At 35.8% G+C, this 26,864-nt stretch overlaps 1 long non-coding RNA gene across 1 annotated transcript in view, besides 1 other annotated feature; it reads right to left on the reverse strand.

The window, feature by feature from the left end:
* Positions 751–800: an enhancer, noted in NCBI's record as "active region_20703". NCBI's record gives its function as "activates an Ori minimal core promoter by ATAC-STARR-seq in GM12878 lymphoblastoid cells {active_cell/tissue: GM12878}" and the evidence as "EXISTENCE:reporter gene assay evidence [ECO:0000049][PMID:35858748]".
* LINC02917 (long intergenic non-protein coding RNA 2917) overlaps positions 15,599–26,864 on the reverse strand; it is an 89,729-nt gene continuing 78,463 nt past the window's right edge. Inside the window, exon 3 of the long non-coding RNA NR_186000.1 lies at positions 15,599–18,567. This is a non-coding gene — a long non-coding RNA (long intergenic non-protein coding RNA 2917). The remainder of the gene's footprint in view (positions 18,568–26,864) is intronic.

Genomic DNA, 26,864 nt, shown 5'->3' on the forward strand with positions numbered 1-26,864 from the left:
TTGAATAACAAATTATCAAAGCTACTGGAAAGAAATAATATGCTATAATATATTATTCACAAACAGAGATAGAGCCATTGACCATTTATTAGTTGCTTTCTAGACAGGACACTGATTTTCATTAACACTGAGGATCTCACCTTATAATTACTAATAGGAACAAAGCATCAAAGTATAGAGCTAGAAGAACAGTTTGTGCTTGAAAAACTCAAGTGTGAATGCTGGGTCAGCCACTACTAACTAAATGGTCCCGGAAAATCATTTAAAATTTCTGTGCCTTGGTTTTCCTCATCTATATAATGGAGAAAAGAAAACTTAAAGAATTTTCTGGCGATTATAAATTATGTATGTAGGGCACTGAATCCATGACTGGACATACAGGACAGAGCTCAGTAATAGATGACTATTATTTCTTTGACTATCGGAATTTGTCTTCAAGGTGAAAGATCAGGTTAGCAATAGGAATGCATGCCTGGATGTGGTCCCAAGTTGTGACCTCTAGCTTGTTAGCATTGTTTTCTAATCAATTTGCTTGCCCAGACCACAGACCTTATAAGGGCTCACAGACAGCAAGCATAGGAAGGTGTGACAGGCTATTGCGCAATTCAGATTCTCACAGATGAGGTTCCTTGTAGCCCTCCTTTGAAACTGAGAGAGGAAGTATAGGTTAAAGAAAATATCTATGCAATGTGTGAACTTAGTTAGTTTTTCCCCATAACGGGACTTTTCTGATGGTAATATTTAACCAAATGTCCCCAGCACCATTTAATATGCCCCTTTTGGTAAAGGTGTTAAGGCAATGTCAGCTTTGTTTATCTGCTTATACCATAGTTGACTGTGATATTTTCTATCAGTCTAAATTACAGTGATCTTTATATCCCTGGAGGCCAGTTAGGCAGGCTTACAAATCATCAGTCAAATGGGAAAATCAGTACATCTAGAGGTTAAGGCCATTTATAGTCTGGAAAAATCAAAGCCTATTATTGATTTAGAAAACCCCTGGAGAGTCCTATATATGTTTTGAGTTTGTGAAATCGGAATTATACATTAAATCAATAGAATTATTGACTGTAGCAAACATGAGGTTATTTCTCAATATATTCAAGGCTGATCAGATCCTCCTTAAAAGCATGGTGCCCACTTTAAAAATCCATAACTATAGAGAATCTCTCAAATGGTACCTGTATTGAGTAATAAATAAAAAATTAATAATTATTACTATGAAGCATAGCTATAGAGTTGCCATGAAGATGATAGCTGAGTACATCAGGTGCAGGATATAACAAAGGATTTTGTTGTTTATAAACCCAGTGTTTGGTGTTTATTTTATAACACAACCTACAACTCTCTATATGTATTTGTGTGTATTTAAAGCATGTAGGAAATAACACAGAATCCAAGGCACCCAAAACTCATTAAAAAATGGAAACAAGGATTCATATGCTGTTATGAAATTAGGCAATCCTAATCCTATTTTAACAGATCAGAGATAGGAGCATTAAAATTATAATTGTCATTTTTTTTTATTTCAGCAATATGTTCTCATCATAGAAAAAATGGAAAATACTCAAAAAGAATTATTTAAATCATTTATAATTCCAATATCCAGGGATAACTTATTGTAATTTGGCATATATCTCTATAATCTTTCTAAATGAATACTATATCTATATATTTATAGAAATATGTAACACATATTTGAGATTATACTAAAAACATAGTTTCGTGTGCATGCTGTATTTTTACTTAACAGTAATATAATGCCAAACTTGGCTTAATGTTTAATATGTCATTAGGCCAGTATATTGGACACACAAATATAGGCTAGACACTGCATGATTGTAAAGGATATCTTTCAAATAGAATATAACATGCCTCCTGGAGTTGTGTAGTATGACAGCCTATTTTAAACATTCTTAGGAAACACTTGAAATGACCATATGATTGCTCATTACATGACTATGCCATTCTTTATTAACTATTAGCCTACTCTTAGATGTTTAATTTCTGTTCATTTTTGTTGTTGTAAATAATGCTATGTGAAGTTATCTCTGCAGAAATATTTCTATTCTCCATTCATTCATCCAAGGATGTCCATGGAAGTAGAATATACAAGTTGAAGGATATGTACATTTTAAAGATTCTCTATAGATACTGAAATATATAACAAATGCTTCAAATAACTTCCATGGTCAGTTTTCTCATTCTTAAACCTCTATGTACATCACAGTTCTCCTGGTTTCACTTCAAACTAGAAGAAAAATGTACATCTATGACATGGTTTGGGTGTTTTGTTCCTTCCAAATCTCATGTTGAAATATAATCCCCGATGTCGGAGGTGAGACCTAGTGGGAAGTGTTTGGGTCATGGGGGTTGTGCGTCCCTCATTAATGGCTTGATGCTGTCCTTGCGATAATGAGTGAGTTCTCACTCCGAGTTCATGGGGAATCTGTTTGTTTAAAAGAGTGTGGCACCTCCCCCTTCTCTCTTGCTCTTGCCACGTGACATGCTGGCTGCTAGTCAGCTCCCACCATGATTGTCAGCTTCCGAGCCCTCACTAGAAGCAGATACCACCCCACCACCATGTTTCCTTTAAAGCCTGCAGAACTGTGAACCAATTAAAACTCTTTTCTTTATAAATTATCCAGCCTCAAGTATTTATAGCAACACAATAATGGCCTAACACAACCTACAACTCTCTATATGTATTTGTGTGTATTTAAAACATGCAGGAAATAACACAGAATCCAAGGCACCCAAAACTCATTAAAAAATGGAATCAAGAATTCATATGCCATTATGAAATTAGCCAGTCCTAAAATCTGACCTCTCTGCATTTTCACATTATTCTCCTCTCTCTATCCCTGCCTTCCTCCCTCCCTTCCTCCAACTGTCAGAATTGTCCTGTAATCAAACATGTTCACATCACAGCTTTTCATTTTCTATTTCCAATCAATTGACCAGTCTAGACCAAGTAGCATCCTGGATCCGTATTACATATTCCTAGACAGTAAGCCAGATTTTTTTTTTCACACTAGTTGTTTCTTCTCACTTAATTGATAACAGTGAAGAACCTCAGATGCCATGACAGGGAGAGAGTAAATGGAAACTGGATAAATTGAACCTGGGTCTGGGACTTTTACTTCAATGACAGCTGCCTATTTGTATATGTTTTATGTATGGGAATTTCTTGTACGCTTCCAGAGAAAGAGGGAGAGCATAACAGAGAGTGTGTGTGAGAGAAAAGGTAAATAAAATAAAAGAGAGGAGGCTAGAGGGGAAAAAAGAAAGAGAAAAGAAGGGAAGGGATGGGAAGGAAAAGAAATTGATGAAAAAGGAAAGGAAAGAGAAAAGGATGAGAAAGAGAAAGCAAGGGGAGGGAAAGGGGAAGGGAGAATTCAGTGGCTAAAAAAATCACTTGAAATCACTATGTACTACACCTTTTTTGTTGTATCCCAATGGAGAAACAGAACTTTTTTGTATCCTGATGGAGAAACAGAACTTTTTTCTTAAAAAAGAAAGTAAATCTAAAATGTGGATATATGGATACCCAGTATCACATTCATTTCTTTATAGAATACTACCTTTGACAGCTTTTCAAATTCCCATTTACCTCACATTAAGATCTCTCTCTATAAAGGGTTCCTTTAAGGAACATCTTGGTTGCTGTTCCCAGAGACCAATACTTATCTATGAAGCCCCAAAGAATAATAATATGCAACCACCCAAATATCTAAAGAGTAATACTTTTGCTGTGTCAGCCATCTTAGGAATTATGGGACTTTAAAAATATTAGCAACACTGAGATTTTCATGAATTATATAGATAACTTTATGATTATAGAAACATGTTAAAAGCCAAAAATAGTCCAAGAAGCTATTATGTCTTCTGGGCCACAAATCTGGCTGGTATTAGGGATGACAGTGGAGACCAGTAAGTTGGATTTAAATTAGATATACAAATAAATGTTTATACTTGAAATATTTTGAAGAAACAGAAGTAACTGCAAAATTATGAAGTGTGCCTGAGATAGTGTCACAATAGAGAACAAGGAAGCTTAACAGTGCAAGGTTGAATGTAGTGAATGGAAAAAAATAAAATAAAACCATTTCATGTCTTTATTCCATCAAGCTCAAACTGCTTGCTAAACTTCTTACACCATCAATACACAGACCTACCCAGTGTTACTTTCAATGTAATGGCAATAAACTTTCAGTGACATTTGGTGAACTCCACAAAGAAGAGTTTGTTGGTCTTTACCTACTTACGTGAATAATATAATCTCTTCATATTTACATGATAGAGAACTAGAGCCAAAAGCAACAAAAATAAGCAAATAAAAATGTTATTTGTGTTTTGACACATGGTTTAGTTATCATTAAAGTTTGAGGGTGGCCGGGCACGGCGGCTCACTCCTGTAATCCCAGCACTTTGGGAGGCCGAGGCGTGCGGATCAAGAGGTCAGGAGATCGAGACCATCCTGGCTAACACGGTGAAACCCCTTCTCTACTAAAAATACAAAAAATTAGCCATGTGTGGTGGTGGGCGCCTGTAGTCCCAGCTACTCAGGAGGCTGAGGCAGGAGAATGGTGTGAACCCGGGAGGTGGAGCTTGCAGTGAGCCGAGATCGTGCCACTGTACTCCAGCCTGGGCGACAGAGCGAGACTCTGTCTAAAAAAAAAAAAAAAAAAAAAAAAAAAAAAAAAAAAAAAAAAAAAGAAAGAAAGAAAAGAAAAGCTTTGGGGCTTAAAACTTTTAAGGGTGTTGGATTTTGTCTTGACATACTTTGCTCATAGAAATAAAAGTGTTATTGATGTTTGACATTGCCCTTTCGGTCAGCATGACTGAGAGTTCTCAAGACTGCCCCAGAGCCTTCCACTCAGATGATTCCTTTTCTCCTTTTGTATGTACTCATGTGAAAAACAGCTCCTCTTGCTCCCTTTTCCTTCCTCTTTTCCATTCTCATTCTATTCTACTTCCCCTTCTGCCGGAGTACATCTCTAAATACTGTTGGAGGAAGGGAAATTAGAAGTTCTACCTGGCTGCTTCTCCAGCAATGAACAAAAGGACTTCCCACCCAGTCATCTCTCAGGAAGGTGCTGCTGCCACTTCTCCATTACGAAGGTGGAGGGAAGAACACAAGGTCTACTCACTCAGAGCACCTCTATACTTAGCCCAGAAGATTTAGGCAATTATTCATTGAAGGTGTTTGAGTAATTGTGACCAAACTATAAAGAGCTGGGTGGTGGCAGTAGGAGAAGAGTGAGTGATTGAGTTTTGAACCCCTGATCAAGTTATTTTGTCCCTTTATATCACACAACAGGCCCTCACTGCCCAGACTTTTCTTGTTACTCTCGGAGACACCTATCGAGAGTATACCATAGATAGCACATGTATTAAATTGCTCTTACTTCTCCTTGAACTGCTACAGTCCTTTCTTTTAGTAATATGGCCCATCGTCTCTTTTCCTCTCTCCCTGAAGCAACAACTTTGTAACTAGTCACCATCAAGCCCTTTGATGTCTTGCACATTCCACAGCTCAGGCATGGAATAGTGCTGGCTTATCTCCCCTCCACGTGAGACAAGGGTGGGACTCTGAGTCATGGTCCTACGTTTTTCCTCAGAAAATGGTGGAATAAGTGCTGGTTGCCTGGATGGATGGAAGGAGAGTAGAAAAACAACAGGGTTTTTCATTCTGAACTTCATTTAGTACTCTCTAAAATCAAATACAAAATTTCTTTTGACTCCATCCTTTCTCAAAAGAAATCTATACTTCTTATTACTTTGATATTATCTCTTCCATGTAAACAAATACCCCAAGCTTATTATGTGAAAGCAAGCCATGAGTTATTTAAGAAAGTATCCTCTATTAACTTGACAATGAAAACCATTATCAAATAAATTATTTCTCTCTAATCTGGGAGGCTAAAAATATTTTCCTTCCTCACCTGGGGATAATTAAAATATTTTATATAGGGAGAAAGGCACTGAAATAAATCACATTATTAAATTGGGACCAAAATTTCATTTTCACAATAGAGGAAAAGATTTTGATTAAAACGTTATCTTGAAAAATAAAACCAAAATTATAAAAATGTGATAAAATATAATCTGATATTTAATCAAACTTTGTTTATAACTGCAAACATAGTTCAATTCTTGGAAAAGACAAATATATTTGTTTTTTTGCTGACAAATCTATAGTATTGCATGTTACCACATTCTACACCAAACATTTGATTATTTTCAATACAATTAAGTGGATTATTTTTGCAAATATATATATGTATGTATATACGCTCAATCAATTTTTGCAAGGACCTCTCTTAGATCATCTTAAATTCTTGAGTTTTCAAATCATTCTCTTTTGCAACTTCAGTCCTGTCCACATCCTTAGTTTTTTTTTTTTTTTTTTTTTTTCCTTCTCAATTGTTTGCTCATTTGCCAATGGCATTGAATAAGATCTAAGTATTTTTCTAACAATTCTTTCCTGGACTTCATGGAATTCTGTATCTTTTGCAAAACATTAAGTCTCATTTGGTAATAAATTTGCAATATATTTACCTTGCAAACATCCAGGAATAGAGGTAAAGTGAACCACAAAGAGATAGAAAGTTGCACGCAGGAGATGTCTATACAGATTCTACTGTTAAAGCAAGATACTTAAAGGGTATTTGAGAGAGAACTGAAGTTTCATGTTAGTTCATCCATGAATTTTCTTTCTGATTCTCTATGCAACCTTGTAATACAGGTCCCTAGAAAATAACTACACAGATAAACAAGGACCCTGTGTATAAGAAAATGAGGTTTAACTCAATTGGCTTCCCAAGATCTCTTAGAGAATTAAAAAGAGAAGGAAAAACTACTCTATGCTTCTTAATTTGTTCTTGTTTTACAAATCTTGATAAAGTCATGCATATTAAGCAGTCAAAATTCCTATGGAATCATTTGTAAAACTAATAGTGCAAGCAATTAAATATGTCTGGATTTTACTCTGGGTACTAATAGGACTGGTTCCAGGCAAAGCTGTGATGTGAAAGGAAGAGATATTCATGTTTACCCTCCTCCATGTTTGTGTTAGGTAAATTTTCTTAGATGCTTTGGTACTTGTACTCTTTCTTTTCTGAATTTCCAACACTGTTCTCCTGGTTATCTATGATCACATGACGAACTACACCACAACTTAGTGGCCTAAAATAATATTGCATTATTATTTCTCATGATTCTGTGAGTTTATGAGTCTAGTTACGTGGTTCTCACTTGAAGTCTTATATGTGATAACAGGCAGATGTTAGTTGGGGCTACAGTCATCTGGAGTCATCCATAATGATTCACTCATACGGTTGGTAATTAATGCTGCTACCAGCTGGTAGCTCAATTGGGACTGTTAAGCAGAGTACCTACCCTTGGCCCCTCTGTTTGGTTTAAAATCCTCTCAGAATAACAGCTTCCCTGCAGGAGCATCCAAGAAGTAAACACTCCAAGAGACTCAGGCAGAAGCTGTAAGACTCATCATAGTGACAGCATCAGAAGACACAGAATGTCTCTTTTGCTACATTCTATTGGCCAAGCAAGTCATCAAGGCCAGCTCAGATTCAACAGGATGAGGAGGAAATTAGCCTACAACTTCTGATGCGAGAGTGTCACATTAGGAAGGCATGTGGAACTGGGGATGCTATTGTGGTCATCTTTGGAAAATATTATCTTCCATGCCCTCCAAGTTGCCTCCAGAAACCAAGGTTACCTAGAGTGTGAACTTGTTCCAGATCCTGCTTCCCCCAAGTGTACCCCATTATGAAAGCCTGTTTTCATCTTCTCTTCACTCAAAATGAACTTTTTCTATGTTTATGGCCTATAACCATGCTTTCTTCTGGGAAACTGAAAAATAATGTAGATTAATGTGTTAATGACTACTGAGCTATTGCCTAACACTGGTAACATATTTGTCATCAAGCCATAATTTTGTCACAGTAAATGACTTAACTCAACATAAATAATTAAGAACAATTTTTGAATATTTTCAAAATGTATGATGAATAATAAATACCTTCTTATGGGCCATGTAGTAAACTCAGTGATATATGTATATAGTAACTCATTTGCTATTCATTGCAATCCTGTGAGTTAGATATTATTTGCATGTTCATTTAGCAGGTAAGGAAATTAAGGCTTAGAGAAAGTAGAAGCCTTGACAAGTATTTCATCACTAGTAAAGGACAGGGTTTGAATTTCTTCCCAGATGTGTATGAGACCCAATTGTTCCTCCAACCACTAAGAATATTGCCTCCCATGCTAACAAAATCTGTCTCCAGTCCCAAGAATATAAAACCTTCTTGAACTTCCTTTTCTTCTAGTGTTTTACAAGCCATCAAATTTTCATCTTTTTATGGGATTTTCAAATAAGATACAAAATATATATAATTGTCCTTAACTTTTAATTCATCTTGCCCCTTATCACAAACACAATATAATACATAACAGCTGAATGAGAAAAATAGTAAAGAAGGTTGATTCTGCTTATTATTTGGTCAAAATAATAAACATATATACATGTACACACACAAAGTAGAGTCTAAATTTGGAGGGTTTTTCAAAATATCTTACTTCAGTCAGAGTAGGAATATTTTCCTTTTACTTGAATCATACCTAGGATTTAAATTTGGTTCAAGTTAAAATATGAAGTGATCCCATTCATGATATTTCTTTATTAGAAAGTATAAGGGACAAATACAAGAAATGCCAAAAAATGAGCTTCTCTCTCAACTTGTAGGAACTTCTCAGTTCTATTGCTATTGCATATATTTATTATTTTCTGGCAGCATCTCTTGGAGTTTGTTCTCTCCTTGTCCTTAGTTCCTATATGTGCAGCTGACCCACCCTACAGTTCTAGGGTTGAAACATAACCTAGAGCCTTCCAAAAGAGTGACCATTTCCATGGCTACAACAATCAATTTAGGGGTAGGTATGTGAAAAAACAAAAAACAAAAACAAAATTTAGAGTCCTCACAAATATTTTTGCAAGTACTCTTAGGTAAAAGACTCCCCTTTGCTCTGAGAAAGCTAATGATGTGGATGATGTAAGCCCAGCATTACACTGGGTGACCCCTAGGCTGTGGTAGGTAATCTGCATTAACTCCTTCTTATCTTTGCATGCATGCCCTTTGCATTGTGACTTTGCTACTTGTGGCAAGAGATGAAGTCCTTAGAAACCATACAGAAAGAGTCTGCCATAAATAAATTATTCAATAGAAAAGTAAAAAGAGATAAATAGAAAGAGCTTTTAAAGCTGTAGGGACCTTAAGATTTCATTTAAGCTTCTATATCTAGTGACACATGAAGTCCATCCTGGACTTTGTAGATACATAAGTAAATAAAATCTATTTTTACATAAGCTATTTGAAAGGGGGTTTCTGTCGCTTGTGCCAAAATTGATCTGGCTTACATTTCAAATTATGTGTCCTTATGAATTTCAACTTAAAAATTGTAAAATTTGAGATATAGAAATAATAAAATATTTGAAATAAGCTTCAAGTAGTAGTTACTATTTCTACTCCTTAACTATTAAATATAATAGCTAATATTTATAAAAATACATGGATATTATTTAAAATTTGTTATATATAATTATTACTTTTTATTAATATTAGCAGATCTAATAAACTGTGTAGCTAGTATCTAAAATTCCAATCTCATATTATTTGTAGTTACTATATGCTCAACTTCTTGACCCATTATCAACTATTAAAATACTCCTAAATTATGATAATTCATACATTTCCTATTTAATATATATTAAATACGGCTGTTTTCTTTTTTAAAATTTTTCAATGTCTTAACACAGTTTATCATTCAATAAACATTTATTGAGTATATTTTTAAAATGTTTGCTGATTATATATCATGTGCTAAACACAACTCAAGATATTGGAAACTTCTCAATGAATAAAATATATAAAGCCTACGTTCTTACAGAGTATATGTATTGGGGATGAGAACAATAAGCAAATAAGTATTAAATAATATAATTTATTTTGACAGGTGTTAGAAAAACAAGGGAAGAAAATGACAGAAAGAGAGGTGATATTTTGTGGGGCCAAAAAGTCCTCTCTGAAGTGGTGATATTTTAGTAACATAAACTTGAATTATGGGAAGAAGGTAGCTATGGAAATTTCTGGCTAAAATGTTTTAGGCAGAGGGAATAGCAAGTTATTTAAAATTAAAATAGAAAAAATAAGTACATAGATAAATTCAGCATACAGAAATACACAAAATGTTCATCACTTTTATCTTTTTTGAAATTACTATTTTTAAAAAATATAAAATGTGGGGTATAATATGATTAGATAACACTCCAAGATATTACAACTAGGTTGATGTTTAATAAAATTATGTAAAAAATACATAAGAATATTAAGGGGAGCATCTGCCCAGGGATATGGGGTGGCAGCCTAATGAGACATGTTGGAGCCTGAATGGGGTGAGCAGAGTATCTTCACGAGGAAAAGGTCAGTGACAGCAACATCCCTGCACAGTGTATCAGAGCCCAGCATGAGTGAGGAAAACATGTAAGTTTGGTGTGGCAGTGTAGCACTAGGAAGTTGAATACACAAGAAGCAATGATCAAAAAAATACATTAAGCATAATAAGAGCCTAGTTTCTCAAATGTCAGACAAAAGGGTTACAGACAGGAAAAAAGAAAAAGCAAGAATGAACTCTGTGGTGTTGGATTTTGCAAACAATGGCATTATTGTGAACTATTAGATAGATGATAGCTAGCTAGACAGATGATAGATAGATGATAGATAGATAGATACATAGATAGATAGATAGATAGATGATAGATGCTCCATATAAATGTAAGTGTGTGGGGTGTGTGTGTTTGTGTGTGTGTGTGTGTGTATATTCCCTACCTCTCGCAGCTTGGGATCGTTAATCTCCAATAGTAATGAGCACACCTCACACTCAGATTCTGATTTCTAAATAGCATGGTCCACTCAAGGGAAGCAGAACTCCTTGGAGAAGTGATTCATTTAGGGTTGGGAAAGAGAAGCTGTAATATGAGCATGGAATATCTTGTCAAAAAGAAATAAATTCTTAGAAAATGATAGAGAAATGTCAAAGGGACACTACAGAAGTTACCTTGAAAGGAAACCCACTGACCAAATCTGGGGAAATTTTAACATCAAAGTAAATAATGAGAATATTGGACTGTGACCCATTAAATAAAATGAGAATCCATTAATCCATGCAGATATAAATTAATTAAAATTTTGATGAGAAATTGAATATTTGCATAGCCTCAAAATACCTCCCCACAGAAAATATTTATTAATTATAAAAAGAAAGAAAGTATGGTGAGAAGCCTGGAAGATACCACCTAAATCAGGTAATAAAGTTAACTTCACCAGTAATGGAATAAATCAAACTTATGTGTCACCTGATGGGATGAAAGCATTCAGAGTCACTTTGTGATATTCATGCCCAAATTGCATAACTTTAATCTTCTAATCATGAGGAAACATGTGATAAACCCAGTGGAGAAACATTCTACCAAATGACAGTCGTATAATATCTTTAAGAATGTCATGGTTCTGAAGTCAAGGAAAGACTAAACAACTGTTCCAGAATGAAGGAGTTCAAAATAAGACGACAACTAAATGTTGTACATAATTCTGTACTGGTTCTTTTCTTATAAAGTACCATATTGAAATAAAGTAGCATATTGAAACTGCTGGAAAAACGTGAATGGAATCTAGGGCTTAGATGGTAGTAATGTATTAATATAAATTTCCTAAATGTGGTTATGTAATAGAAAGTCTTTGATCTATGCTAAAGTATTTAGGGGTGATGAGGCATTGTGATGTTCCTTCACTCTCACATGGCTCAGGAAAGTGTTATTTAAATTATTCTTGCAATTTTTATAAGGTTGAGATTTTTTTCAAAATAAGAGCATTTTTTAAAACTTAAGTGACAAGGACAGAATAATTCAGCAACACTTAGTGATAACAAGATAAGAGTAAGTATTACAATGAGAAATTGAAGGACCTAAAGTAGAGCCTCTTACTCTGCTAGTATTATTATATTATCAACACTAGTTTAGGTCGTCCCCAGGCAGGCCTTTAATTCTCAGTGTCAAGAAATTAGAAATTAATATAAGACCCTAACATCTAGAATATGGAATACACACACACATATTTAAAATAAATCTTATGTTTTGTACTTTCTACCTAAAATATGTGGTGTAGTGATTCTAAGTCAACCATATTTTGTCTTTGAAAATCCTGAGCCCTCCATGAAATACCTAGGTATACATACTAACAGATTATGTGTAAATGTGTATTCTAATATAAATTCCTGGACATACAGAAGTCCCAAGTAGGCAAAAATTAGGTAAGTAGTTCTCCATACAGAATTCCCTCATATACATAATAGTTCTCCTAGATGTTCTACCTGTGAGACTATATTTTAAAATGCTGAGCTAAATTGAATGTGATATAAATATTTACATAATGAAATTCCCAAATTAGGTCTACAAAACTTAATTATAAGTGAAGATCTAATATAAACATTCTTTGGATTTTAGTGCCAGAGTAATTCTTTGAAGTATAGTTAAGAATAAAAGGAAAGTAATTAATAATAAATCACTCCACCCTCAAGAGTCATAAATCTATTTGCACTTTAAAATCTTCATTCTTATATAAAGATTATAATCTTAATGTTTCTTTGGAAAGTGACAAAATTTACATAAAATCAAAAGATTATGTCTTCTTAACTGACTCTGCTGTCCTTGGAAATGGGAGGTATCAGTTTTAATGGGAGGAAAGACTAATTGATGGATTAATTTCTGTTTGTCTAGTCCTTTGAAGATTAAGTGTTACTCAAACGCAATAATATTAAGATTTATTCATCACTATCAAGAGCAAAGCCTATCATAGATATAAATTCCCCATAATCAATCTTTCACTTATAAATGGAATCAGATTAATTCTATTAACAAAAATTAAAATAAAATGTAAGATTCCAATACCTCCCCCAAAGGACAGCAGCAATTAAGTCCAGTAATTGTGACAAGTATAAATAGTGCTATTGTCTTATTTTATTTTCTGTTGCTTAGAGCAGAACATCTGAAACTAGGTAATCTATAGAGAAAAGGAATTTATTTCTTACAGTTATGGAGGCTCAGAAGTCCAAGGTTGAGAGGCTGCATTTGGCGAGGTCCTTCTTGCTGGTGGGAACTCTCTGTAGAGCCCAGAGGCAGCTCAGGGCATCACAAGATAAGGGGGCTAAACATACCAGCTCAGGTCTTTCTTCTTTTTATGAAGCCACCAGTCTCACACCTATGATAACCCATTGATCCATTAATTCATGAGTGGATCAACTCATTCATGAGAGCCCTCATGACTCAATCACCTCTTAAAGGCCCCACATCTCAATACTGCCACAAAAAAGTTTCAACATAATTTTCAGAGGGAACAAACATTCCAATCATAGCAGCTATGTTCCTTAGTGAATTGTTTTATCTGCAGATAATATAAGCATTACAGAATACATCAAAATGTATCAGATTTGCTGACTCCTTATTTTACACTTACATTAGACTGTGTCATTTTGTTAACTTTCGTAAATGCAGATTGATGCTTGGTCTGAACATAACTTCTGAAAGCATTCAAAGCTTATATTAATTAATAAAACATTCCTTTTAAATTAAATCTTTATACTACTTTAATTTCTTAGAATTGATTTGGAGACATTGGAGGAAAATATATACATATTCCCTGGAGCTTCCAAAAATAATATCTAAGTATTACTCCTAGATAGAATTTTTCTTGGTTTACCATGACAATGAATAAAATTCCAAATTGAGTCATAGATTATAATGTGCTCTTGGAATAGTGCTAACAAATTTATAAAAATTAAAAAAAAACCAGGCCAACACTATTTAAAGTAGCCATGTGATACCTCTTATTTTACTTTAGATGTTTATAGGACTATGTAAACTGAATGACAAATTATTTTATCTAAGACCAAACTGAATTCTTGGCTCCTTTCAGCGGAATTTTATGCGATATCTGAATATATTTTCTGTTACCCATTCAGAACTGTTTATTGAATGTCTTTCATAATCTCAATGTACTGCTAGATGTTGGGCAGGATATAAGAGAATTTTAAGCACACCACCCTGTTCCAGAAAACTTTCAAAATACTTTACAAAGATAAATTTTAAAAACAAGTTAGTATAAATTAAAAATAAATTTAAAAGAAGACAAATTAACAAAGGTAGAGACACAAGATGTTACACAATCACATGCAAAAATGTAAACTTCCTCCCCAACCTAATTCCATACAGACATTCCCTTATTCACTCACTCCAGTCATACCAGCCTCATATCTGATTTGTCAACATGGGAGCTCTTGGGAACTTGCTTTTCCTCTACTATGTTCCTCCCACTTGGAATGCTGATCTCCTCAGTTATAACAGCACTCTACATTTATTCTATGTATTGCCTACCTTTACTGCCTTCAAAGCATTTACTACATTGGAAAATTATTATTTATTTGATAGTTTGTGTGTCCATTGTCTTCTGAACCAATTAGAAGGTCATCTCCATAATGACAAGGACTCCCTCTTTACATTTGCATCCTCAGCAACTAGTACGATATCTAGGATATAGTAGGTGCTTAATAAATATTTGTTAAATGAATACATTAAATATAGAAATGCATTATTATTTTTCTGAGCTCGCAATAAATTAAAATTAAAACATTTTTGTGGGCTCCTAAAGGTATTGTGGGTTCTTAGACTCTATGTCTACTGTGCTTATAGAATAAGTTTACTCTTTTTCCAACGGTAATTTCGATGTCACTTCATCCCCCCAAACACTTCTCTGATCCCAATAACTGTAGAAATGAACACACAGCATGCATTACTCTTTTATCTTCTCCACTTTGATAGCACTTTCTGTGAGCCCCAATAAACTTCATAATAGACTAGAAGCAAAGTCTGTATCTAATTTATCTTTCTACTCCTCAAAGCTTCCACCATAAAGCTTGACTTTTTTTTTTTTTTTTTTTTGAGAGGGAGTCTCGCTGTGTCACCCAGGCTGGAGTGCAGGGGCGCAATCTCGGCTCACTGCAAGCTCCGCCTCCCAGGTTCACGCCATTCTCCTGCCTCAGCCTCCAGAGTAGCTGGGACTACAGGCACCCGCCACCATGCCCGGCTAATTTTTTGTATTTTTGGTAGAGACGGGGTTTCACCATGTTAGCCAGGATGGTCTCGATCTTCTGACCTCGTGATCCACCCGCCTCGGCCTCCCAAAGTGCTGGGATTACAGGCATGAGCCACCATGCCCAGCGGCAAAGCTTGACATTTTCTAATTAACAATAAATGTATTTTGATTTCATATTGGATTCCTATACTAATAATATCAGTTCTAACAGTTAAGGAAGTTTCATGAAACGAAAACTACTTTAGATGGCCCTAGAGGCATTGACAATTCATGTCATAAGTGATAAAATGTTGAACACCTTTGGTAGAAACACTTCGTTGGTCACACCTCCTAAAATAATAGATAAATTGGGACCAGATGACAAAGAACCATGAATTTCTTTTTTTTATTATTATACTTTAAGTTCTGGAGTACATGTGCAGAATGTGCAGTTTTTTTACCTAGGTATACATGTGCCATGGTGGTTTGCTGCACCCATCAACCCATCACCTACATTAGGTATTTCCCCTATGCTATTCCTCCCTTAGTCCCCCATCCCCCCGACAGGCCCCAGTGTGTAACGTTCCCCTCCCTGTGTCCATGTGTTCTCATTGTTCAATTCCCACTTATGAGTGAAAATATGTGGTGTTAGGTTTTCTGTTCTTGTGATAGTTTGCTGAGAATTATGGTTTCCAGCTTCATCCATGTCCCTGCAAAGGACATGAACTCATCCATTTTGATGGCTACATAGTATTCTATGGTGTATATTTGCCACATTTTCTTTATCCAGTCTATTACTGATGGACATTTAGGTTAGTTCCAAGTCTTTGCTATTGTGAATAGTGCTGCAATAAACACACATGTGCATGTGTCTTTATAGTAGAATAATTTATAATTCTTTGGGTATATACCCAGTAATGGGATTGCTGGATCAAATGGTATTTCTAGTTCTAGATCTTTGAGGAATCGCCACACTGTCTTCCACAATGGTCGAACTAATTTACACTCACACCAACAGTATAAAAGCATTCCTATTTCTCCACATCCTCATCAGAATCTGTTGTTTCCTGACCTTTTAATGATAGCCATTGTAACTGGTGTGAGATGGTATCTCACTGTGGTTTTGATTTGCATTTCTCTAATGACCAGTGATGACGAGCATTTTTTTCATGTTTGTTGGCTGCATAAATGTCTTCTTTTGAAAAGTGTCTGTTCATATCCTTTGCCTACTTTTCCAGGGGGTTGTTTTTCTCTTGTAAATTTGTTTAAATTCTTTGTAGATTCTGGATATTAGCCCTTTGTGAGATAGATAGATTGCAAAATTTTTCTCCCATTCTGTAGGTTGCCTGTTCACTCTGATGATAATTCCTTTTGCTGTGCAGAAGCTTTTTAGTTTAATTAGATCCCATTTGTCAATTTTGGCTTTTGTTGCCATTGCTTTTGGTGTTTTAGACATGAAGTCTTTGCCCATGCCTATGTCCTGAATGGTAATGCCTAGGTTTTCTTGTAGGATTTTTAAGGTTTTAGGTCTTACGTTTAAGTCTTTAATCCATCTTGAGTTGATTTTTGTATAAGGTGTAAGGAAGGGGTCCAGTTTCAGTTTTCTGTCTATGGCTAGCCACTTTTCCCAACACCAATTATTAAACAGGGAGTCTTTTCCTCATTGCTTGTTTGTGTCAGGTTTGTCAAAGATCAGATGGTTGTAGATGTGTGACATTATTTCTGAGGTCTCTGTTCTGTTCTATTGGTCTATATATCTGTTTTGGTAACAGTACCATGCTGTTTTGGTTGCTGTAGCCTTGTAATATAGTTTGAAGTCAGGTAGCATGATGCCTCCAGCTTTGTTCTTTTGGCTTAGGATTGTCTTGGCTATGCGGGCTCTTTTTTGGTTCCATATGAAGTTTAAAGTAGTTTTTTCCAATTCTGTGAAGAAAGTCAATGGTAGCTTGATGGGGATAGCATTGAATCTGTAAATTACTTTGGGCAGTATGGCCATTTTCATGATATTGATTCTTCCTATCCATGAGCACGGAATGTTTTTCCATTTGTTTATGTCCTCTCTTATGTCCTTGAACAGGTTTGTAGTTCTCCTTGAAGAGGTCCTTCACATCCCTTGTAAGCTGGATTCATAGGTATTTTATTCTCTAAGCAGCAATTGTGAATGGGAGTTCACTCATGATTTGGCTGTTTGTCTGTTATTGGTGTATAGGAATGCTTGTGATTTTTGCACATTGATTTTGTACCTGAGAATTTACTGAAGTTGCTTATCAGCTTAAGGAGATTTTGTGCTGAGACGATGGGGTTTTCTAAATATACAATCACGTCATCTGCGAACGGAGACAATTTGACTTCCTCTCTTCCTATTTGAATACCCTTTATTTCTTTCTCTCACCTGATTGCCCTGGCCAGAACTTCCAATACTATGCTGAATAGTAGTGGTGAGAGAGGGCATCCTTGTCTTGTGCCAGTTTTCAAAGGGAATGCTTCCAGTTTTTGCCCATTCAGTATAATATTGGCTGTGGGTTTGTCATCAATAGCTCTTATTATTTTGAGATAGGTACAACTGATACCTAGTTTATTGAGAGATTTTAGCATGAAGGGGTGTTGAATTTTGTCAAAGGCCTTTTCTGCATCTATTGAGATAATAATGTGTTTATGTCATTGGTTCTGTGTATGTGATGGATCACATTTATTGATTTGCATAAGTTGAACCAGCCTTGCATCCCAGGTATGAAGACGACTTGGTCGTGGTGGATAAGCGTTTTGATGTGCTGCTGGATTCGGTTTGCCAGTATTTTATTGAGGATTCTCACATCGATGTTCATCAGGGATATTGGCCTGAAATTTTCTTTTTTTGTTGTTTCTCTGCCAGAACCGTGAATTTCAAGTACAGAATTTGAGTGTTTTTGTTTTTTGTTTGTTTGTTTGTTTGTTTGACAGAGTCTTTCACTCTATCACTTGGGCTGGAGTGTAGTGGTGCAATTTCAGCTCACTGCAACCTCAACCTCCTGGGCTCAAGTGATCCTCCTGCCTCAGCCTCCAAGTAGCTGAACTACAGGCATGCACCACCATGCCTGGCCAATTTTCCTTTTTTTTTTTTTTTTGGTAGAGATGGGGTTTTGCCATGTTGCCCAGACTGTTCTTGAACTCCCTGGGCTCAAGCTATGCACCCACCTCGACCTGTCACAGTGCTAGGATTACAGGCATGAGCCATCATGCCCAGCTGAGTATTGGGATCTTGATGCAGTAATCTATGAGGAGAGCCTGTAGGTTCTTGACCAGGAAAGCAACATGGTGAGAATGTTATTTTAGGAAGATTTATCTCTGAGTTGGGCATTGAAGAGATTAAAGCAGGAAAAGTCTGGAGGCAAGGAAACAAGAAAAATTGTAGAAATGAATTAGTATGACTAGACTATGCACCAAGATATAGTTTCATTCTAGTTTTTGTTTTACTTTTTACTTCATTTAATGGTAAATACAAGGCATTGTATTCAGGATATTCATTTTCTAAGCTACTTCTTTTTTCAAAAATTTATTATCTTGGCCAGGTGTGGTGGCTCACACCCGTAACCCCAGCACTTTGGCAGGCTGAGGCAAGAGGTCTGCTTGAGCCCAAAAGTTTGAGACAATCCTGGGCAACATAGTGAGACTCTATCTCTACAAAAAAAATAAAAAATAAAAAAAAATTAGCCAAGCATTGTGGCATGTGCCTGTAGTTCTACTCGGGGGTCTAAGGCTGGAGGGTTACCTGAGCCTTGTAGTTCGAGGCTGCAGTGAGCTATGATCATGCCACTGCACTCTTGCCTGGGTTATAAAGTGAGACCATGTTTGAAAAAAGAAAAGTCATGATCTTAAATGTCTTGACACATGTTTCATCAGAAACATTGCCTATTTCCTTCACACATGAAGCAACAATGTATTCTTAAATTTTCAGACCAATTAGTCAACAATCAAGCAATTTTTGAACAATCTTGGTAACTTTTTTTGACTGAGGCCACATCAGATTCAAATGCAAAAGCATAATAAAAATAACTGTTCTATATGTGGTACTTTCTAATAAAAAACTTTAAGTTACACTATTTTATTTATTACTATATCAACAAATTATTGGTATTACATAAAACCCATTTTATTGAAGACAAAACTGGTAAGTTATGAAGCTAAGAAATGAACCTAGTGTATCTGACACAGAGCCCATTTGCCTTCTGTCGACCTTCTCAAGGAAGGTAAACATATACATAAGACCATCATACTAGAAAGTAAGAGAGCAGATGCCACAAGGTCTAAACCCCTGCCCAAAATAAGATCTCATGAAAACACTGAACATGGAAACATGAAAACTTTAACTGGACCTTGAAATTGTAGCTTGTTCAGAGAACATTCTGAATAGAGTAAACAGCAGGAATGAAGAGTGGAGATAAGAATCATCTTGTCCTGTATCTAGAAAGGCTGTGTAAATGATAACACCAGATGAGAGGTTTCATGTTGAGTCATAGAGTGAATTGAACTGGATCAGTAAGATATGGTAAGAAAGAAAAATGAGACATGAAGAATGCTTCAAAGAAGTCTAATTTAAAAAACAGGCCGGGAACGATGGCTCATGCCTATAATCCCCACACTTTGGGAGGCCAAGGCGGGAGGATCACCTGAGGTTAGGAGTTTGAGACCAGCCTGGCCAACATGGCAAAACCCTGTCTCTACTAAAAGTACAAAAATTAGCCAGGTGTGGTGGTGGGCGCCTGTAATCCCAGCTACTCAGGAGGCTGAGGCATGAGAATCGCTTGAACCCAGGAGGTGGAGGTTGCAGTGAGCCGAGATCGCGCCACTGCACTCCAGCCTGGGCGCCAAGAGCAAGACTCTGAAAAAAAAAAAAAACACCTGAGTATGTGGGAGAATCACCACCCGGGAAGAGGAATATGGACGGAAGAACACAAAGAAAGGAGGGCTGACAAGAGAAAGGATAATGACTTTAGTTTTTAATATGCTATATCCACATGCAGTTATTTTTCATATAAAGTTCCTCAGTAGACAACTGGGGATGGCAAAATTCAACTGAATTATAAACAGAGAGACTAGAAGCTCTTAGAGTAACCCGTTACTAAAGAGAGTGCGGACTGAGCCATGTTGGCATCTATCAAGGAAGCCTGAAAAAATATGGTTACATCTTCAAAAATGCAATACTTAGAGAAAAAAAAACGTGAATTATATGGGGCATAGATAGTCATGTATATCAAAAAATTGTCAAAAAATTGTAGGGCAAGTTAGAAAAGGGATTAAATACACTTGTGTAAAGGTATGATTTCCCTGAACTTAAAATAAAAGTTGGAAATTTTTAAAAAGGTATGATTTTCCTGTATTATTCCCCATTTACTTTGCGTACAAAAAAAAAAAAAGAAACTGAGATTTTAAATTTTGCTCATTGTAATATATACCAGTATACAACAACCACTTGCACCACAGGAATTTCTGTGTGTGAATGGAGGAGGGGGTCACTGGACAAGCTTACAATGTGCAAGAAGTAGAAATAGGCCTTTCCTTTGTGCTACTAAATTTAATTCTCTCAAAAGCTTGTGATCTGGCTACTATCATTATTTTCAAGTTGGAGAGGTAAGTGTGGAGCTCACACTACTTGTTTACTGGATTGGAGAGCCACTATTCAAGCCCAGATTTGCCTGACTCTGGAACAGGCACTTTTGTCTACTATATGGTAAATTTCACTAAAATTAATGGGCTGAGTTAAGTCTGGATGCTGGAATACGAATGAGTAATTGAATGTGTTCAAAATTATAGGTCACATTTCAACACCATGCAGCAAAGGTGGGTTCCTCACCAACTCTCATCACTATTGCTCAATAACAGGAAATTAAAGATATTTAGCACATTTTTAAATAAATAAACTCAGCTTAATTCCACTTATCTTTTTCCTCCCAAACCTTTGAGGTATGTATCTACAATGTGCAAGGCTCTAGGCCTTCTCTTGAATTCATTTCATAAGCAAGTGGAAGTCAGATGTAAGTTGCAAACAAATAAAAATAAGTAAGAGATTTTATTTCTCTCTGACTTTCATCAGCCTCTGTTGAAATCTTATTTAAGTATTTTGTGGTAAACTCATTCCTTTCCTATCTTGAAGATGACGAGCTTTTTAGTCATCATTTTAAGAAGCCAACTCATTCTTTAACAAGAACAGTTATAGAGAGGCCAAGAGCAATAACTCTTATCATTTTATTCTGAGGCAGTGAATGTATTTTATACCATCTTTGGACACAATGTAAATCTCAGAATCAGGAGCTAGACTGTTTGTTTAAATGAATTAACTTCATACTCAAGTAGCCATGATAACTTGAACCATAAATTAAGCTGATTTAAAAGAACTCAGCAGAAGAACATTCCGAAACTGGTTATAGAACCAAAGAAGAGACTGAGATGTTTTACTTTTAAAGGAAGTTATTTTAACAGGATCTAATATACTTCATTTTCATTTTTGGTACAGTGTACTTTGGGACTTGGAAATTGGAAGAAAACTATATGACCATTACTAGAATGCTGTATCAATCCTCCTTACTAACAGCACATTAAAAACTTTTTCCCTTCAAAGTTTATGTAAGAAAAACTGAGTATGATATTTTCTCCTGAAATAAAGAAATAAAAAAAGAATACTTTTATATTAGAGAAAAGAATAATTACATATGTAGATTTGAACTATCTCTTATAATTGAGATTGTATTATTAAGGTCCATTAGTAAAGGTTTTCTTGTTACCTCTAATTTGTGTGTACAGAGAAGATGAAGTTATGTCCTCATGGCCCTCCCCATATATGCTTTACATGCATTGTCATGTTTCCTTAATACAGCTACTAGGGAATAGATATTACTGTTAATTCCAGGTGATAAAGAAACTGAAGTGTAGAGGGTTGTCACTTGCCCACTCAACTTGTAAGGGCCCCAGCAGGAATTCAAACCTAAGAAAACATACCTCCTTGATGGGTTGGCAAAATTACTATGTTTACAACATTCTTTTTCTTTTTTAATCAACTTTATTGAAGTAGACTTTACATAGGACAAACTATATTCATTTTAAGTGTCCAGTTCAATGAGTTTTGGCAAATGGATGTGGCCATGTAACCATCATTACAAGAAAGACACAGAACATTTCCACCACTCCCAAGAGTTCTCTCTCACCCATTTGGTGTCAGTACCTCATGTCTTCTTCCTTTCTGGCAACCACTGATTTGCATCACTAGCTACATTTTTCATTTTACTGCATGCATGTTTTGTTTGAAACAAGGTCATTTTACATAAAATGCCAAATGCATTTTTCTTCCTATTTAACAGTAGAGTTTGAAATGATAGGGTCCTTATATTAATATTTGTAAATATTGCCAAATAAAACTCCTAACCAGATACATAGCAATTAGTTTAGGGTTTAAAGGCTTGATGGCAATAAGAAAGGGAATAAAAGACTATATAAGTTTATTTTACAAAACTTGACTGAATGAAAAATCAAGTAGTAAATAATTTTTAAATAAAATAAATAGAAATAAAATTAATATGGTCTTATATACCCCAAAGTGATAGTACCCAACTTGGAGAGCGATCAATATGTCCAAATAATCTGAATCTCAGTCATGTTATCACCAGTCTTCTTTCTGCCTGACATCGTACTTCCTGCCTCCTTTACTCTCCTCGTGTCTCTCAACTTCCCTGCTTCCTTCTTCATACGTAACCTGAGGCTCTCCAGCTACCTTCCTTCTTGGACCTTTGAGTCACTTGTTCTGACCTGTGACCCAGGCAACAATTGAGAGCAGCAAATTGCTACAGGGCTTGACTAGCCCGAATGATGTCTTCTTAGTCCTTTACTATCTGATTGTTGTGGTATAATTAAAAGAAGTAAATAATTAGTTACAAACAGATGAACCACTTCAAGAGGTAAAGAAATTACAATGTTCAGATATGCAAAACACACGGCATTTTTTTTCCTATAACTCATCTGATTTGCCTTTGAAATTCCTACTTCTTTCAATAGTAGAAGGGAAAACAAAACACTCTTCAAATAACCTGGGCTACAGTATTTTTTTTCTTCCTTGTTAACTTGTCTCTTCTAATTGATTTTGTCTTTCTCAAGTAGGTCTTTCAGATGCTTTCTCCTTCATGCTTTTTGGAGAGATGGTGTCTGGATAACAATGGGCTTTCTTAGTCATTTGGAGGTAGCAGAGAAGGATGCTCAAAGCCACCAAGTTTTAGAAAAGTGTCTATCTACACTAGCTGTTCTTTTCTATTTTGATTATACTTGTCTTTTTTTTTCACAGCCAGATGGAGCACATAGGTTGAGCTCTCTACTGCCTCTTCTGCATATCATCTCTCACTTCTTCTCTAGAGGATTAAGCTTTAAAAGAGTGTCCACTCCACACTGGTGAAGAAACGCTACAATAGAGTCAGATCACTGGCACCAGATCTCTCAGTGAAGCTACAGAAAATTAGAAAATCCTCTTATATTGTAGCAACACTAAAATATTAAGGCTGTTGTTTTGCTAAGAACACAGAAACAGAATTTTGCAAGTCAAAATTAGTACTGATGTTCTTTGTCTTCTCTGTCTCTCTCATTATTGTTTTAGTCTCTGATATAGCAATGCCGATCTTCCTTGAGATAAAGTGAGGCTACCTGAAGGACTGTACCCCAAAAAATTAAAGAAAGAAAATCATATTAATAGACATATTTAAATGTATTGCCATGACTTCAACTATAAATGGGGGAAAAAAAGAATTCAAAACATACACATTTTTGTTTAATATTGTTTCACAGTGCCCTTTCTTATAATGTCAAAACTTCCCAGCCAGGCATTCAGAATTTTCCACAAAATTATCCATTTTTTCTTGCACTATTTTCCTGTAAAATATATGTTCTAAACACAACAACCCTTGTTTTCCTAAATGATGTCTACTCTTTTGTTTCTATGTCTTTTGCTCATACTATCCCCACTATCTAGAATGTCCTCCCTTGATAGACATCTTTGGAAGCCTGTTCACTTAGGCCTAACTCAAATCCCATCTCTCCCGTGAAGCCAAGCAATATTGTTCAGTCTCTATCTTGTTCTACTTCATATTTCTATTATATGTTTTAGCCCTGGTATAACAATTTATCTTTTTCTATATGTATTAGAAATTTCTCAGTGGCTCACGTCTGTAATCCTAGCACTTTGGGAGGCCGAGGTGGGTGGATCACGAGGTCAGGAGATCGAGACTCTCCTGGCTAACATGGTGAAACCCTGTCTCTACTAAAAATACAAAAAATTAGCCAGGCGTGGTGGCGGGCACCTGTAGTCCCAGCTACTCTGGAGGCTGAGGCAGGAGAATGGCGTGAACCTGGGAGGCAGAGCTTGCAGTGAGCAGAGGTCGCGCCACTGCACTCCAGCCTGGGCGACAGAGCGAGACACCGTCTCAAAAAAAAAAAAAAAGAAATGTATTCATCCTTCTGTCTTTCACACTAAAGTGAGTAGTTGCAGGGTGGGAACTACAGCTGGTGACAATTCACCCTGGCCTCACTGATAATATTCAGCTCAATGCTTTACATAGTGCTTGGCATGTGGTATGTAATCAAATCTGTGATGTTGGTCGAATGACAATTAAAACAAAATGTTATTTCTAGGTGGGCCCAGTGGCTCACGCCTATAATCCCAGCACTTTGAGAGGCCGAGGCGGGCAGATCACCTGAGGCCAGGAGTTCGAGACCAGCCTGGCCAACATGGCGAAACGCTGTCTCTACTAAAAATACAAAAAATTAGCCGGGCATGGTGGCAGATGCCTTTAACCCCAGCTACTCAGGAGGCTGAGGCAGGAGAATCCCCTGAACCCAGGAGGTGGAGGCTGCAGTGACCTGAGATCGCGCCATTGCACTTTGGCCTGGGAAACAAGAGGGAAACTCTGTCTCAAAAAAAAGAAAAAATGTTATTTCTGATAAAATTCAGAAGAATTGTGCCTGGCCTTTTGGGATCAAACAATACCTTATATATAAATCCCATACACAATCTATATAATACAAAGAACTTTACAAAAGATAGATTTTTAAAAATGTACTTTTCTAGTAACCAGAAGAGATTAAGAAGGTCTATGTTCTAGTAACTAAAGGAGATTAAGGAGGTCTTCGTGTTTAAATTGCTACATTTTTTAAAAATAAAAAATGCATTTTTATACTATTTGGAAAATTGCATGAAATTAGGTTTTTATATCTTGATACCTAAATATTGAATCAATTTAGATTATGTATATTGTAATTTCAGAAGAGCAACTACAGTGATCAGAGTCAAGGATAGTAATTCAAATTAAAAGCAAAAAAATTAGCACAGACTAATTTATATCTTAAAAGCACAGCTCAAGCTGAGCATGGTAACATGTGCCTATAGTCCTAGCTACTTGAAAGGCTGAGGTGGAAGGATCACTTGAGACCAGGAGTTCGAGACCAACCTGGGCAACATAATGGGACCCAGCATATCTTTTTAAAAAGTGCAACTCAAGGTATCTCAACATACTTGAAGAGTAGGAAGGCAAGAGGAGACAATATTTTTATAAGAACATAATTAGGAATAATTTAAATAGCCAAACATGGTATGATGTATTACTTGGTAGAAAGTGATGGCAACAAATTTTAGTGCAATGGGTAAAATGAAGGTAAAAAAAAATTAATGTATCTGAATAGAGCATATCGTTATTCAGAAATACATTGACATTAACATTGGCATAGTGATAGCCAGGATGACTGAATGAGCCCAATGCCTCCCAACCACAGATCCATGGATAAAAGATACAGAAAGTAAGACCAGAATCATGAGAAATTTAAAGGGGGAACTAAAAATAGCTCAGGAGTTGTAAAAGTGTTCAGAACAAATCACAAATAAATAGAAAAAAAACAATTTTGTTATCAAAGATAGACTTTTTAAAGCTGGGGTGCGTGCTTACCATATTACCCATGAATATTGTCAGTAGCCATTACTTTACATGTCTCTCTAAAGCAGCATTGAAAAAGCTGTTCTGAGTCAGAACATTTAGCAATAAATGTTCTCTCTGACAGCAGTGCCAAGGGACATCTTGTTGATGGATATAATCAATCACAAAGTCCTCTATTCCCACGGTCATGCTTCATCCAATCACTAAATATTATCTGTACTTTTGCTATGTGCAAGACACTGTTCTAATTTTAGTACACCATAAGAATGAATCATAGCATCTGCTCTTAGGAACAATCTACTCCAGAGGACATATAGATACCTCTATTATAGGAGCAGAAGAAGTATGTGCCACCCAAATTTCTTTCAGGAGTTCGTAGAGGAAAGATTACAAAATATTCTAACCCAGTGCCTTATATACGATCAATATTTGTCAAATTGGTTAATGAATTTATGAATCCAGTAATTTTCCTGAGCTCCATATAAATCTATTTGAGATTTTCATCCTGTATTATGTTTGTGGCACAAGATTTAGAGTTACCTCTCTATATAATATGTGTGTATATATGTGAATAAAATGACATCATTCAAGATTCTGTGAATAACATCTTTTTTATGAATCTTGGTCTATTACTAAATGTGTACACATGATTTTATGCACTTTGATTATATACATCTTTAGCTTTAATTACTCAGAATTTTACATTTCATAATTTCCCATA

This window comes from Homo sapiens, chromosome 3 (assembly GCF_000001405.40).
Source record: "Homo sapiens chromosome 3, GRCh38.p14 Primary Assembly".
Classification (NCBI taxonomy): domain Eukaryota; kingdom Metazoa; phylum Chordata; class Mammalia; order Primates; family Hominidae; genus Homo; species Homo sapiens.